We start from the raw sequence: 14385 nt of genomic DNA, 5'->3' as shown, positions 1-14385 counted from the left end.
AAAACTTCATATATTGTCATTCCTTTTTTTTTCTTCTTTTTTGAGACAGAGTTTCATTCTTGTCACCCAGGCTGGAATGCAATGGCATGATCTTGGCTCACTGCAACCTCCACCTCCCAGGTTCAAGTGATTCTCCTGCCTCAGCCTCTCGAGTAGCTGGGATTACGGGTATGTGCCACCACACCTAGCTAATTTTGTATTTTTAGTAGAGCTGGTTTTCACCATGTTAATCAGGCTGGTCTCGAAATCCTGACCTCAAGTGATCTACCTGCCTTGCCCTCCCAAAGTGCTGGTATTACAGGTGTTAGCCACCTTGCCTGGCCTCATGTATTGTCATTTCAATAAAAATAAATGTGGAAAAATATTTCATTTCAATGAAAGTAAATATGAAAATTTAAATAAAATACAAATGAGAAAAATACATTATAGTTAATTAACCAAAACATTCAAAACAGTCTCTCCCACTCTCCCTCTCACTGTGTGTATGTGTGCTTGTGTGTGTGTGTGTGTGTGACAGAGAGAGAGAGACTGGGTATAAATTATGGTAGGTACTAACGAGAGAGATTTTTTTTAAATGAAAATAGAGACAAACAGAATTAATTACAAAGTTTAAAATATTAGCTTTTAAGGTATTCTCAGTGTAAGATTGAATATATGTGTGATCTTGGTTATGTTTGGTTGGTGGAAATACAATGTAAGAAATTAGTAGATATGCATAAACAATTTTTGTTAATAGAAAGTTATGTTTCTATCAACAATATATATGGAGACTCTGGTCGGGAAAATATATAGATTCATGTGGCTACAAGAAAAAGGGAGAATCTGCTGCTGAGTTTGGGAGACAATTTATCTAAAGGATATATTCGATAGAAGAGTTTGAATTTTGAATCAAAAAGAAATTCAATGAATCTGAGAATTAAAATTCAGAACCTTATTTTGAAATTGAGATGTGCCTTTTGTTTTTAATTTGGATATGATAAGACCTAGTTCAATAAACCAAACATGTATTTATCCACATTTTTTCACCTCTCATGCTTGTTGGCATTGCTGTTTAGAAGTAAGTCCAGAATAGAAAATGTCTGCGCACATGCCAGTGTTGGCATTTCAGTGAGTCTGGTTTGGTGATGATTTTGTGCCTCTGCTTATTTGTTTTACCTGCTCCTTTCCACTGCAAAAGAGGTCTGATTCCACGCAAAGAGGACTGGATGGGGGCTCAATCAAATTTGTTTTCTTGCTGATGGTTATACGATCACAGGAGTATTGACGAGTTATGCACTATGAGTTTTCACTTCAGTTTTTGTTCACAGTTCGTGAGACTGCAGGGAGAATGTTTTGTACTCTAACCTGAAATGAGAAATGAAGACTGTGAACTGCTGAAGAATATTAATTAGACAGATAAAGCTTAAATTCAGCAGTTTGATGAGCTAAAACTTGATAACTACACACAAAAGTGGAAGGCTGAAAAAAAAATTCACAGCTTTCTGAAGTACATGGAAAAACAATCAAGAGAAATTTAAATGCATAAATATAAAATTTCCCAGAAGAAAATCATTCTTTTACATCAAAATTGTCAGTGTTAGTGGGCTATTTGAATTGTTAAATCTAGAGTATATTTTCAAAGTACAATTTCTGATTCTAGGAGAAAAGGAGTCATTTAAAAAAAAGAGTTGGCCATTTGTGAAAAACAAAATTAATAGTTGAAGGAAAAAAGACATAGTTACCTTTTAAACATAAAATCTGAGGCTTTTAATTCTTAAGTAAATTTAATTTTTAAGGACTTTAATATGACATTCCAAGTTTTGATACAAAATTGTTACTTTTCTGGAAAAATAATTTTGCTTTATAAATTATTATTACTCATCCATTTGTTCATTAAATAATCAGTAAGCAGCTGCCAGACAAGGTGCTAGGGCCTTTTTCACAAGATGAATGAACTCAAGTTACTCAGAGACAAGAATGAAGAGACATATTATTAAAATTTTAACACAATGTGAAAATTGCTTTAATTATTCAATTTAAAGTATTTTTGAGTGCTTACTTAGCTTCAAGCTTTACATCATGAGTGGGGATAGAGTTTCATATATAGATATATATGAGAGAGGCTGGGAGCGGTGGCTCACGCCTATAATCCCAGCACTTTGGGAGGCCGAAGTGGGCAGATTACTTGAGGTCAGGAGATCGAGACCATCCTGGCTAACATGGTGAAACCCCGTCTCTACTAAAAATACAAAAAATGAGCCGGGCATGGTGGCAGGCGCCTGTAGTCCCAGCTACTCGGGAGGCTGAGGCAGGAGAATGGAGTGAACCCGGGAGGCAGAGGTTGCAGTGAGCAGAGATCAGGCCACTGCACTCCAGCCTGGGCGACAGACTGAGGCTCTGTCCCAAAAACAAACTAACAAACAAAAATTAGCCAGGTGTCGTAGCATGCGCCTGTAATTGCAGTTCCTTGGGAGGGTGAGACAGAAGAATCGCTTGAACCCAGGAGACAGAGATTGCAGTGAGCTGAGATCGCGCCACTGCACTCCAGCCTGGGCAACAGAGTGAGAGTCTGTCTCAACTGAAAAAAAAAAAAAAGAGAGAGAGATGTGAGAGATAGAGTGAAGGAGAGATGTATAAACAATGAAATTATGTAAATCCTATACAAAAATGAGGCAGACAAGTGGGAAGGACTCCCCATAAAAACTCCAGCTGGCCTTGGGCACTGGGGTGGAAACTCAGGAAGTTCCTGTGGGTTTTGCAGCAGGGAGGAGCTTAGCCCCTCCTCTTCCTGTGTGGAACCTGGGATTCAAACTGCGAGGCGGGAAGCGCACCAGCAGGGACTCTGCCTTTGTGGAGAGTCTGTGTTTCCCCCCTTTTCCATTTTTTTCACTCCTCAAATCGTCCGCTAGCCTAAATTTTCGTAGCTGTGTGATAAGGACCTCATCTTGAGCTGAACTAATGAAAAGTCCTGTAACAAAAAGACATTTTATGTTTTACAAAGTGATCAAAAAGAGGTGGCTGGGTCTTTTTGAAAGCATCAGAATATGCTTTCTAAAGAAAGTCAACATTATGCTTCAAAAAGGTGGTACAAAATGTGCCTTATCAACTGATATGGAGTAACCAGGAGTGTACCTCACAGAAGAGGTAAAGATTGAACAGATTATTGAAACAAAATAAGGAAACTGTCAGGAAAACAAAGAGGAGAGGATATTTTACAGAGAAACCAACATGTGCAAAAACAAGAAAGTGCAAATTAGCAGATGGCATTCCGGAAATTTTAAGTCATCTGGCACTGACCAAGGCAGCCTTAGAAGTTCCCCTGAACCTGACTCAACTTCAGACAAGTTTCTTCCTGACTCTAGGCCCTTGATCTCTCTTTTCTTAGAGCAGTTACTTTAGAAAAGTTAAAATTGTAAATTCTTTCGCTGCAGCTTAGAGATGTAAATCTTCTCTTGCAAGTTTTACAGACTAGGAATGTCTTTCTCCAGGTCCTGAGAGTCATCCTTTTGAAAAGTATACACCAAGAAAGATGGAGTGCCTTCATCCAGTCTCTATAGAAATGTAGGAGCTTAACTTAGATAAGCACGTATTAGCAAACACAGATGGCCGAATCATGTTTACCAACCTCCCTGCAAAGTTCTCTAGTACTTTGTCATTAAAAACTGTCCCATCTTTTGTTTCAGGGGAGTTAAATTTAGTCTCTCTCCCCTATTGCAATAGTCTTGCCTCCCTCTGCAATTGTCTTTGCCTGTCAACTCTGGCTGGTGTCTTTTTTTTTTTTAAGCACATGACAGGGAATTTGTAGAGATAGGTAATGTTAGGGTCACCCCAACCAGACTGTTCCCCCTCCCTTCCCATGGGTCTTACAATGCAGTCGTTTGTGACATCCGCACAGCTCCCCCAGGGCTAAAGACAAACCCCCCTTCACTGACCCCTCCAGTAACTAACCAGTCAGTTACAGGATGCGGTTGACATGTCTGTTCACCTTGCATAACAAAGCTGGCAAAAAACATCTCCAGGATGCGGTCAAGACACCTGCACACCCATCTCAGCTCCCCCACCCTGACCCTGTTCCTCGCCTTGTAAAGCCATGCAATGGTCTGAAAGCAGGGCTGCCTCCTCTGCTTTTATCAGGAGGTAGCCCGGCAGGACTGATAATAAATCAGCTTGCCTGAACTCAGCTGTCCTTCCAATTATCCCTTACAGGTAAAATCCAGAAAATGAAGGTTTTTGTATACCCTTAGGGAAAACGTTTTAAGCAGGGAAGAGGAAGACAAACTGATTTGGAATCCTAGGACTGGAGGAAAGCCAAATTATAATGGCAGTTTGTCTTATATTCCCCCACCAAACAGAAGAAGGCCACACAGGCCAAGTGTTTCCCAGCCCATAATCTAGCAAAAGAAGGTGGCTCAGAAAGGATTAAGTCTCCCTTGGATCAAATGCATGTCCCTCCAATAATACCAAGCAAGATTCCACCAGCAAGAGGAATCAATCAGGACCCAGTAAACATAGAGGGGCCAGTAGAAGCACTCTCCCACCAGGCTTATCCTGAAACCCCACTCCCACATCCAGGAATACCCAGGTAGCTGTGCACCAACCAGCAAGAGGGACCTCGCCATAACAGGTGGTGTGTAGACTAGCCCTATAAATATATTATAAAATACTCCTAGAACCAATAAGTGAGTTCACCAAGGCTGCAGGTTACAAGATCAACAGACAAAACTTAATCACAATTTGTATGCAAACAAGGAATATTTAGAAATTGAAATTAAAACTCAACTACCATTTGCAATCATTCCAAAGAAAATTTACTACTTAGATAGTAATATAACAAAACATGTACAGAATTGACGTGGTGAAAACTACAAAATGTTAATAAGGGAAATTTTTTAAAATCAAATACAGATAGATTAGAACATTCAACATAGTAAAGGTGCCAGTTCTCCCCAAATTGTTTTATATTAGTTTGGTGCAAAAGTAATTGCAGTTTTTACCATTGAAAGTAATGCTGTTTAAAAAAAAACACAATTACTATTGCACCAACAGGTGTAAGCTACTATAAATATTGATATGCAGGTTTTTGCGTAAACATAAGTTTTTAGTTGGGCAAACACCTAAAAGTAGAGTGGCTGGTTTGATAGCGAGTGTATAATGAACTGTCAAATAGTTCAAATGGGCTGTACTATTTCCTAACACCTGTGTTTGAATGTTCCAGTTTGTCTGCATTCTTGCTAGCACTTGGTATTTTGAGTATTTCTTAGCCACTCTAAGAGATTTGTTGTGGTATCTAGTTGAGTTTAATTTGCATTTCACTAATGACTAATGATACTGAGTATCTTTGATAAGTATATTTGACATTTATGTATATTCTTCGGTGGAATGTCTGCTGAAATATTTTGCCTAGTTTGTATTGTTTTTTGTATATTTTACTGAATTTTAAGAGTTCTCAATATATGCCAAATGCAAGTCAGAGAGAGTTCATAAAGACAATAGAACTATTTAATGAAAAGGTGGTAGCCATATAGATAGCATTGTAAAACTGCAAATGAGGATTTTTATATAATAGAAATTGAAACTGGGGAAACAGTGTTATGTTTTGTTGTTATGTTTCATTTTTTTTTTTTTTTTTGGACATGGTCTTGCTCTGTCACCTAGGCTGGAGAGCAGTGGTGTGATCATGGCTCAGCCTCCTGAGTAGCAGGGATTATAGGCTTGCACCACGACACTCCCTAATGGTTTTTAATGTATTTATTAAGATGGAGTCTCATTATGCTGCCCAAGCTGGTCTCGAACTCCTAGCCTCAAGCAATCCTCCCCGGTCAGCTTGTTTTTAACATTGTTTTAGAGTGTCAATACTCTGAGTTTAAAAACTAGTATTTTAATGGAAAACATAACTCATCTGTCCTTATACTTTTGCCTTATTAAATCTTCATAGTTAAATATATCTTATTTTCAGAACTTGAGATAATTAAATAATATTTATATAATTTAATCATATTGACAACTAGGAGAAGTTTCTTTAGGCTAAGTAAACTTGTGTGCTTATGACCGGAAGGCAGGGAAGTGGTCTGAGCATCAATTTGAAGCGTTATCGATACGGTTTTTTCTTTTGTAAAATGGGAATGATAATAGTAATGTCTACCTCATACAGTGGTTTGGGAAGTTAAATACGATAAACCAGGTTAAATATTTAGGGCAGTGACTACCATTCTTATTCAATACATAATTGTTATTATGATTATTTTACAATCTTTAAAATACTTCAGTGGTTTTGCAAATCTCCACTTCACTCTATCTGTATAAAGATCCATACTCCTTTTTTTACACAAAATAGGAAATAAAGGATACAATTTTTTTTAAAATGATTTGAAAGAAAGCTGACTTTCATTAGAGTGTGTCTGAAGCAGTGTTGTTATTGTGTGATCCCATATCAGAAGCATCTGTACCTGATACTTTGTTTCTATTTGTCTTTCAGCAAGCAAGGAAAACAGAAAGTGCCCACTGTGATTTTCTATTTTTCTAAGCCTTCTCAAGCAATTATTATCATCAATTTTCATCTAGCATTTTATCTTCTGTCTGGTTCACTTCTTTGTTTCTCAGGAGCACAAGTCTTTACGAAACTACGTGGGTAGCCACTTCCTTTTCCCTTTGAAATGGATACTTCTCCTGGCATTTTAATTTTGGCTCAAGTATAAGAGTTATCAAGACTCTCAGAATTAATAATGTAAACAAATTCTGTCAGAGAACATTTGAATTGGACGGTTCTGAAAGGGAAAACTGCATAGTTTAAAGTGACTTCCTCTATCACATTGTAAGATATTTCCTTTCTTCCTTTCTTTAATAAAAGAACCATTTAATTACTCCTATATGTCTTAGCCATGGAGGCATGGCTATATGACAAGAGGCAGATGGTCATGACATTTTAAATATTTTTAATATAAACTTTGTTTTTTAAAACCGTTTTAATTTACAGAAAAAAAAAATGCAAAGATAGCACAGAGTTTCATGTATCTCCATACCCACTTTCTCCTATTAGAAACATCTTACATTATATAATACATGTTTCACAATGAAAGAACCAATATTAACACCTCGTTATTAAATCCATGCCTTTTGTCAGATTTCCTTAATTTTTTGCTAATGTCTGTTTGTGATTCCAAGGTCCCATCCAGGACACCACATCACAATTAGTCATGTCTTTTTCAGCTTCTTTGGCTATTGCAGTTTTGCCCTTTCCTTGTTTTTAATGACTTTGACAATCTTGAGGAGTACTGGGAAGGTATTTTGTTGAATGTCCCTCAATTAGTGTTTGATGGTTAGAATAATTTATACATATTTGGAAGGCCACAAAGGGAAAGTGCCTTTTATCATATCAAGGCAACTGCTATCGACATTCCTTGTCACAGTTAATGTTGGCCTTCATCATCGGGCTTAGGTAGATTTGTCCATTTCTCTAATGTAAAGTTACTTTTTCCATTGTCCACACTGTAGCCTTTGAAAGGGTGTCAACTTGCATAGCCCACATGGAAGAAGTGGAGAATTATGCTTCTCCAGACTCCTAACATACAATAGTCTTTTAATGGTCTTTTTACTGCCTTTCTAAAATCTCATATAACTGAAATGATATACCATGTAGCCTTTTCAGACTGGCTTTTTTCACCTACTATTATGCACTTCAGGTTCATCCATGTCTTTTCATTGCTTAATGGTTCATTTCTTTTTATCACTAAACAGTATCCATTGTATTGATATGTCGTAGTTTGTTTATTCATTAGCATACTGAAGGCTATCTTGTGACTTACACTTTCTGATGATTATGAATAAAGCTGCTATATACATTGACATGCAGGTTTTTGTGTAGACATAAGTTTTCAAGTCAGTTGCATTAATATTCAAGAGTATAATTTCTGGATGTTGAGGTAAGACTATCTCTAACTTTGTAAGAAACTCCCAAGCTGTCTTCCAAAACTAGCAGTGAATGAGAGTTCCTGTTGCACTGCATCCTTACCACATATTGGTATTGTCCAATTTTTTAAATTTTAACCTCTTTAACAAGTATGTAGCAGCATTTTGTCTTAATTTGCAATTTCCTAAAGACAAATGTTTTGATAAAATTTTCCTATGCTTATTTGCTATCTGTACATGTTCTTTGATGACATGTCTGTCAGATCTTTTGCTCATTTTTTAATTGAGTTGTCTGTACTATTATTGTTGAGTGTTAGGTATGATTTACAATAAAGTAATTTCTTTTGTATTTTTGCATATTTCCCTCAGTCTGTGACTACTCTGTTCATTCTCTTAACAGTGTCTTCTATCCTGAAAATGAAGACAACTGCCTTCTTCTCACAGAAGATTGAGCTCAAAGAATTCATGAAGACAGAGAAGCTGAGAAGAAGTGGCCTTGGGAAGAATGACTTCTTGCAGAGCTGCAGTTCTAGCCTGTTATCCCCTTAAAGAAGCACTTGTCAAGCAGAGTGTGAGAACTTAGACACAGCAACCAGTAGTAGTGAAACATCAAGTGACCATGCCTGGAGGTAGGCATATAAATACAGTTATATCCCACCCAGTGGACTAGGCTTGTGTGTTTAGGGAGTATACACAAGAAATGGTTCTTCTTTTCCCTTTCTTATGTTGTTGCTGAATACTTCATGCACAAGGAAAAAAATCATATCCCAAAGAGAAAGTGATCGGCTTGTTCAGATTTTGTTGTTGTTCTTCCCTGTTATCTGATTAATGAAAGGAAGTATGTGTGGTGGAAAATATTTTTTAAAGATATATATGTGTGTGTGTATATATATATATATATATATATATATATATATATACATATAATGCACAGTATATAGGGGATGATGCACAGGTAGGAGCTGGCAGTGCAGAGAGGAGACATTGATCTGAAGAAACAGCTCCTAACAGCTTATGGGGCACTCACCCTGTGCTCAAGCAATCATTGTCAATGACAAAGTGGCCATTTAAGTTATAATTGTATTAAATTAGGCCAAGCACGGTGGCTCATGACTGTAATCCCAGCACTTTGGGAGTCCGAGGTGGGTGGATCAGGATGTCAGGAGTTGGAGATCAGCCTGGCCAACATGGTGAAATCCCGTCTATACTAAAAATACAAAAATTAGCCAGGTGTGGTGGCGCAGACCTGTAATCCCAGTTACAAGGGGAGGCTGAGCCAGGAGAATCACCTGAACTCGGGAAGTGGAGGTTGCAGTGAGCCGAGATCGCACCACTGCACTCCAGCCTAGGCAACAGAGTGAGACTGCATCTCAAAAAAATAATAATAATTAATTAATGCTAATAATTTGTATGTTTTATTTGGAGAGCTTGAGTAACTTTAACTCCTAACTAAGCATATGTGTTTCCTTGGTTTTGGTTTCGTGTCTTTTTTCTTTTGGGTTGATGTGTAACATGTTTGAGTATAGGAAATAGTGGGTTATTCTTTTGGCTTTGCTATTCACGGTGAATTATAAAATATAAATTTTTGTGAGATTTCGAAGATTATATTTCAAAGATTATATTAAAAGATAACATTGCTTACAGATTTAAAAGATGTGATTATCACAAGAATGTGATAGTGGGGGGATAAAATAACTAACAGAATAAATATTTTTTAGGATAAAAATATTTATTTTATAAAAATAAAATAAAAATGGTTTCAAATATTTCAAATGGTAACTTTCTCTACCCACTGTCACAGCCGTGAGGGTCTCTCTCTTACCTCTTCACAATGATAAGTTGGTGGGGTTCCTAGAAGTAAAAACCCACCAAAGTATGGAAGCCTCCATAAATGGTACCTCTGAGTTTCTTATGCTCGTGCTGATTGAAACTCAGCCTCATCAAAAAGCTTCAGCAGTTCAGAAGAATTACCTTATAAATGTTACTACCAGTTTATGGCTTTGGAAACTTCTGCTCCAAATAAGCAGACTCCAGTTATGACCCTCTGTATTTGCCTGTCTCCAGATTTCAGGATGATGATTTGCTCTATGACTTCAGTTCTCTAATGGGTCCAATAAAATTCATTGATTTCAGTTTGCTCAGCTTTTTTCTCTTGTTGAAAGAGTGTATGTAACATTCAAGTTGATAAGCTATTGTCATCAACACAGTTTTTAAAAATTGTATTTTGTTTACAACTTGTTTATTAAGACTTTATAGTGACAGTTACATTATGCTTATTAATGTTCCTGGTGACAGACCTTTATTTGAATTTTATATATGATTTAAACTTGTCTTCATATTGGAAATATTTAAGGAATTTTGATACTTATATTCACTTCCATCAAACCAAGATCCCAAAGGTTAAAAAGAATCATTAACTAATTTAGTAGTTGGAGACTCAATAGAGTGATTTCAATTGAGTTTGAACTTTAAATTAATTGTTATAATACCTGATAAGTCTGGCTTCCTAAAGTATCATTTCTTTATCTTATCATTCCACATTTTGAACTACATACGAAAATAAAAGTCATTTGAAAATTTACCTATAGCTTGGAAGAAATTTTGAAATTTAACCACACATGTATGTGTGTATACATGTGCACACACACACAACTTATTCCCACAGGTATTTCCTGTAGCAGTTAATAATACACCTTCCATATATTACATATTTAGTAAAGCTTTTAAAAATGATTCAATTTATGTAAAACATACAAAGAAAGCATATTAATCTTTTACTGAGACGGGAAACTGATGGATCAAAATATATGTGAGTTGACATTGTTAGCCACTATCCTTAAGGTGGATATCAGTTTAACATGGTAACATATTCCTGTTCACTTTTTGGATAATAGGCAGTAGGCTTTTGTGCGTCCATCTGGAAATTGGTTGTTGGGGACCATTCAATGATCTGGTTTTGGCCAAAATGCCCATATGGGTTTGTCAGATAATATTATAATTCTTTGGCACCATGCATAAAGAGTAGTCCAGCAACAGGAAATGAAATTCATTTTCTCACTGATGTTGGTTGAGTACAGAGGCCAGTTTGTCCTACATGTGTGCGTAATGTCACATGCCTTTTTAAGAAGACTTCACTTGGGGCCACCAGAAGCCACTCTAAGTGGGCCAGAGGTGATTTTCATATTATAGCTTTTATTTCTCTTGTTGAAAAATTGTATGTAACATTTGAGTTGATTGACTGTTTTCATAAATACAGGTTTTTAAAAACGTGTTTGTTTACATCTTGTTTATAAATTTTGTTTATACTCATCTTGTTTATACTTTCTGGTGACAATTCCATTGTGCTTATTATTCTAGTTTTCTTACTGTAGAACCAAAGACTGGCATAGTATAATATTCTCTTTGAACTTCTTCAAAGATGTAGTCTCTGAGTGTTGTGGGTTAGAGATCTTGGTGAGAACTACCCATTGGTGTAATGATCAATCGACATTTTCTTTTGCTTTGATGATGTCCCTTTTTGAACTGATATCCACCTTGATAATAGTCAACTTCTTAGGAACCATTAGAGTTATTAAAATACTTTTAATCTGCTAACCATTCTAAATTATGGATAATGTAAGATAATTACATTATCTTACTGCAAAGATACTTACATTAAGCATCTTTATTTTCTCTGAAGCTTTTCGAAATCATGAACCATCCCAAAACATTTCTATTATTAGTGTATATAAACCTTCTTTCCTTTATTCATCCAGCAAGCTATGGGAATGGAAACAATTATGTTATCTAAGAATATTTTCATTTCTGGAAAGGGGTCAAAATGGTGAGTTAAAATTTGTTCCAGTGTTTTCTGCCTGATATTTTCTGGTTTCATTCTTAGGATATGACCTACAAACAAATCAAGATTAAATCTGGATTTCTGGGCATGCTTTAATTAATTTATTAGCGTGTTTTAATAAATTTACTAGATATTCAGGAAGCAGTGGTTAGGGGGCCATGAGCTTCCCTCTTCTAATGGAAGAAGATTAATAGTATTTAAAGTATTACAGTGATGAACAGAAACATGGAAAGAAGAAAGTAATTCAATTTTAGAAAGTAAGCCTACTTTCTTAGGAAATATTGCATACTTTTAATGGGCAGCAAAGACTGGCAAAATAGGGAACCATTAAGTTTAAGGTAGAAAGTAAAACTGTTAGTAGAAGCCTCCATCAAGTTTCAACTTCTGCTTTCAGCTTAGGAAAGTAGGATTTTGACATTGGGTTAGTAGAAAAATAGTTGCATGATACTGGTTTGTTGAGATGGAAGAGATATTTGACTTGTTCAGATCTTTTATGTATGAATAGGTAACATGATTCATGATGACGCAGGCTCATAATGAGAGGTTGTTGAAGGGCTAATTTTTAAAGCATGAAATGCCTATATATGCATAAATTCTCAGATAAGAGATTTGATTAACAAAGATTTGGTTAAGTGATACAGTATTGTGTCAATTTCTGAAAGTCAACGTGGCAGACAGAATAAGAAAATGACTCCTAAAATGCCCAGATGTGCATGTTCTTGTATAACCCTCTCCCTTGAATATAAGTAGGATCTTTGAATATGATAAATGTCACTTGAGTGATTGGATTATGTAACACAGAAAAGGTGAAAGGGTTTTGCCGCTGTAACTGAGATCTCTAATTAGTTGACTTTGACTCAAAAGGGACATTATTCTGGATGGGCACTGACTTAATCAGGTGAAAGCCATAAAAGCAAAAGAATCTCTAGCTAGCCTTAAAGAGAAACAGCTGTATTGAAAGCTGCCAGTAAAGAGGGGGAGCCTCTAAAAGGAGAGGACCTTGATGCTACAACCACAAGTAACTAAATTCTACCAACATTAATGAGCTTGGAAGAGAACTTTGAGCTCCAGAAGAGAACTGCAACGTGGCTAATGCCTTGATTTCGGCTTGTGAGACCCTGAACAAAGGACCTAGTTAAGCCTTACCCAAACTCCTCATCCACAGAAACTGTGGTGTGATAAATGTGTGTTGCTTTTTGCGCCTAACTCTGTGCTAATTTAATATCTAGCCACAGAAAATGAATACATTTGGAAACCCATTGTTGGCTATAGTGAATGAGACCCAAAGAATCATCTCTAAAATCTCCTGGTTACTAACTAGAAAAATTCTGAATGGTTATGATCTTTCAGAAAAGAGAAATTTACCTCCTTGGGATATATTATGCTTCAGATGATACACTTTACTTTGAGAAAAAATTTTAGTCCCCATCAGAAAGTTTATAGACTATTAGAGATAAAACAAGTAATTAGATGGATGGAGTCAGTCCTAGAGCTCAGCTAAACTTTAGAATGCCACAAAGTATGGTAGAATATAGGGAAATGTAAGTTCCTTGAGGCCCTGGTTAAAGACTTTTAAAAATTAAGACAATATCTCAATAAGCCCTAAGTCATAATTACCAGTGTACGTTATCGAATTTCTCAGAAGAAAGCAAACATATGACTCTGAATTAAACAGATTCTAAAGGAACAGAAAACAGATTTACAGCTGTAAAATATGCAATTTCATTATGCACCAAAGACAAAATAATATTTGAATTTGTTACTACAGAGAAGTGGGAGATCATTATTCAATTTATACTCCTGAGATTCTGAACAAATTTATATCACTGCCCTGTGTTTTTTTTTCTTTTTCTTTTTTTTAAATTTAGAGAAGTACTACAAGGAATAGTACAAAGTTTCATGATTCATTTCTCAATTAGGTTTTCATCTATTGATTTTAGTGCTTTGTTAGGCCTTGGTTTTAGAGGGTATGGGGCAAGTTTGGGCAGATATTTGGAGGGTTTAGTCTGAAACTGATAGGTTCAGCCTAAACAGTATTACAAAATCAGTTTAATCTATGCCCAGAAGTATGACTACTTCTTTGACCTTCAATTTGTGTAAAGAGTACAGGTAAGGCAAGGTTTAAATAGCTATAACCTGCTTGTGATCGAGGGCGTCCTCAGGAAATGTGCAGGAACAGGCCATCAGGAGAGCTTTTATTTTATAGGAGATACTCACACCACCCCATTTGGTTAGTGGATGTGATGTCACAAAGGAGGAAAGAATGTTTCTCAATTAAGAGTCTGAGGGCGACAGTTATGCACTGGGGCATGCAAAGTGTTTGAGGTTTATTAGCGGTACCCGGCACCTGATAGTTATTCAGTCCCAGGGAGAAGTTAGGTAACAATGTCAAGATGTATGACAGATGTCACAGGGCCTATCAATCAAAATGTTGAGGTTTTTTTCTTTAATAATTAGAGAACTTTGCCTTTATGCAATGAAGGGACATTGAGCGATTTATTCCCCCTTGCAGAAACTTCAATAATTATCCCATTTGTATTTGTTCCCTTTTGTTTCCTAGCTGTAAGAGTGAAATTATTTTTCCTATACTCTTTCAGTTTAAAGTGTACAAAACCGTCTTTTTCAAGAGTACTCTAGGGTTTAACAACTATAGTGTTTTTACT

The 14385-nt window shown here is 36.3% G+C and overlaps 1 protein-coding gene across 12 annotated transcripts in view; it reads right to left on the bottom strand.

The window, feature by feature from the left end:
* Positions 1-13972, bottom strand: part of ADAM29 (ADAM metallopeptidase domain 29) — a 59823-nt gene extending 45851 nt beyond the window's left edge. For 8 of the 12 annotated variants that reach the window (NM_001278126.1, XM_011531557.2, XM_011531556.2 and 5 more), the window contains exons 1-3: positions 13859-13972; positions 11538-11643; positions 1156-1344 (exon numbers count right to left, since the gene is read on the bottom strand). The gene's annotated coding sequence lies outside the window, so the exon portion shown is untranslated. Of the gene's footprint in view, positions 1-1155; positions 1345-11537; positions 11644-13339; positions 13401-13858 lie in introns of all 12 variants that reach the window. The other 4 variants (NM_001130704.1, NM_001130705.1, NM_001278125.1 and 1 more) reach the window with 3 other exon arrangements.
* Positions 13973-14385: the final 413 nt, after the last annotated feature.

Source organism: Homo sapiens, chromosome 4, assembly GCF_000001405.40.
Source record: "Homo sapiens chromosome 4, GRCh38.p14 Primary Assembly".
Taxonomy (NCBI): Eukaryota; Metazoa; Chordata; class Mammalia; order Primates; family Hominidae; genus Homo; species Homo sapiens.
This window is presented reverse-complemented; position numbering and strand designations above follow the sequence as displayed.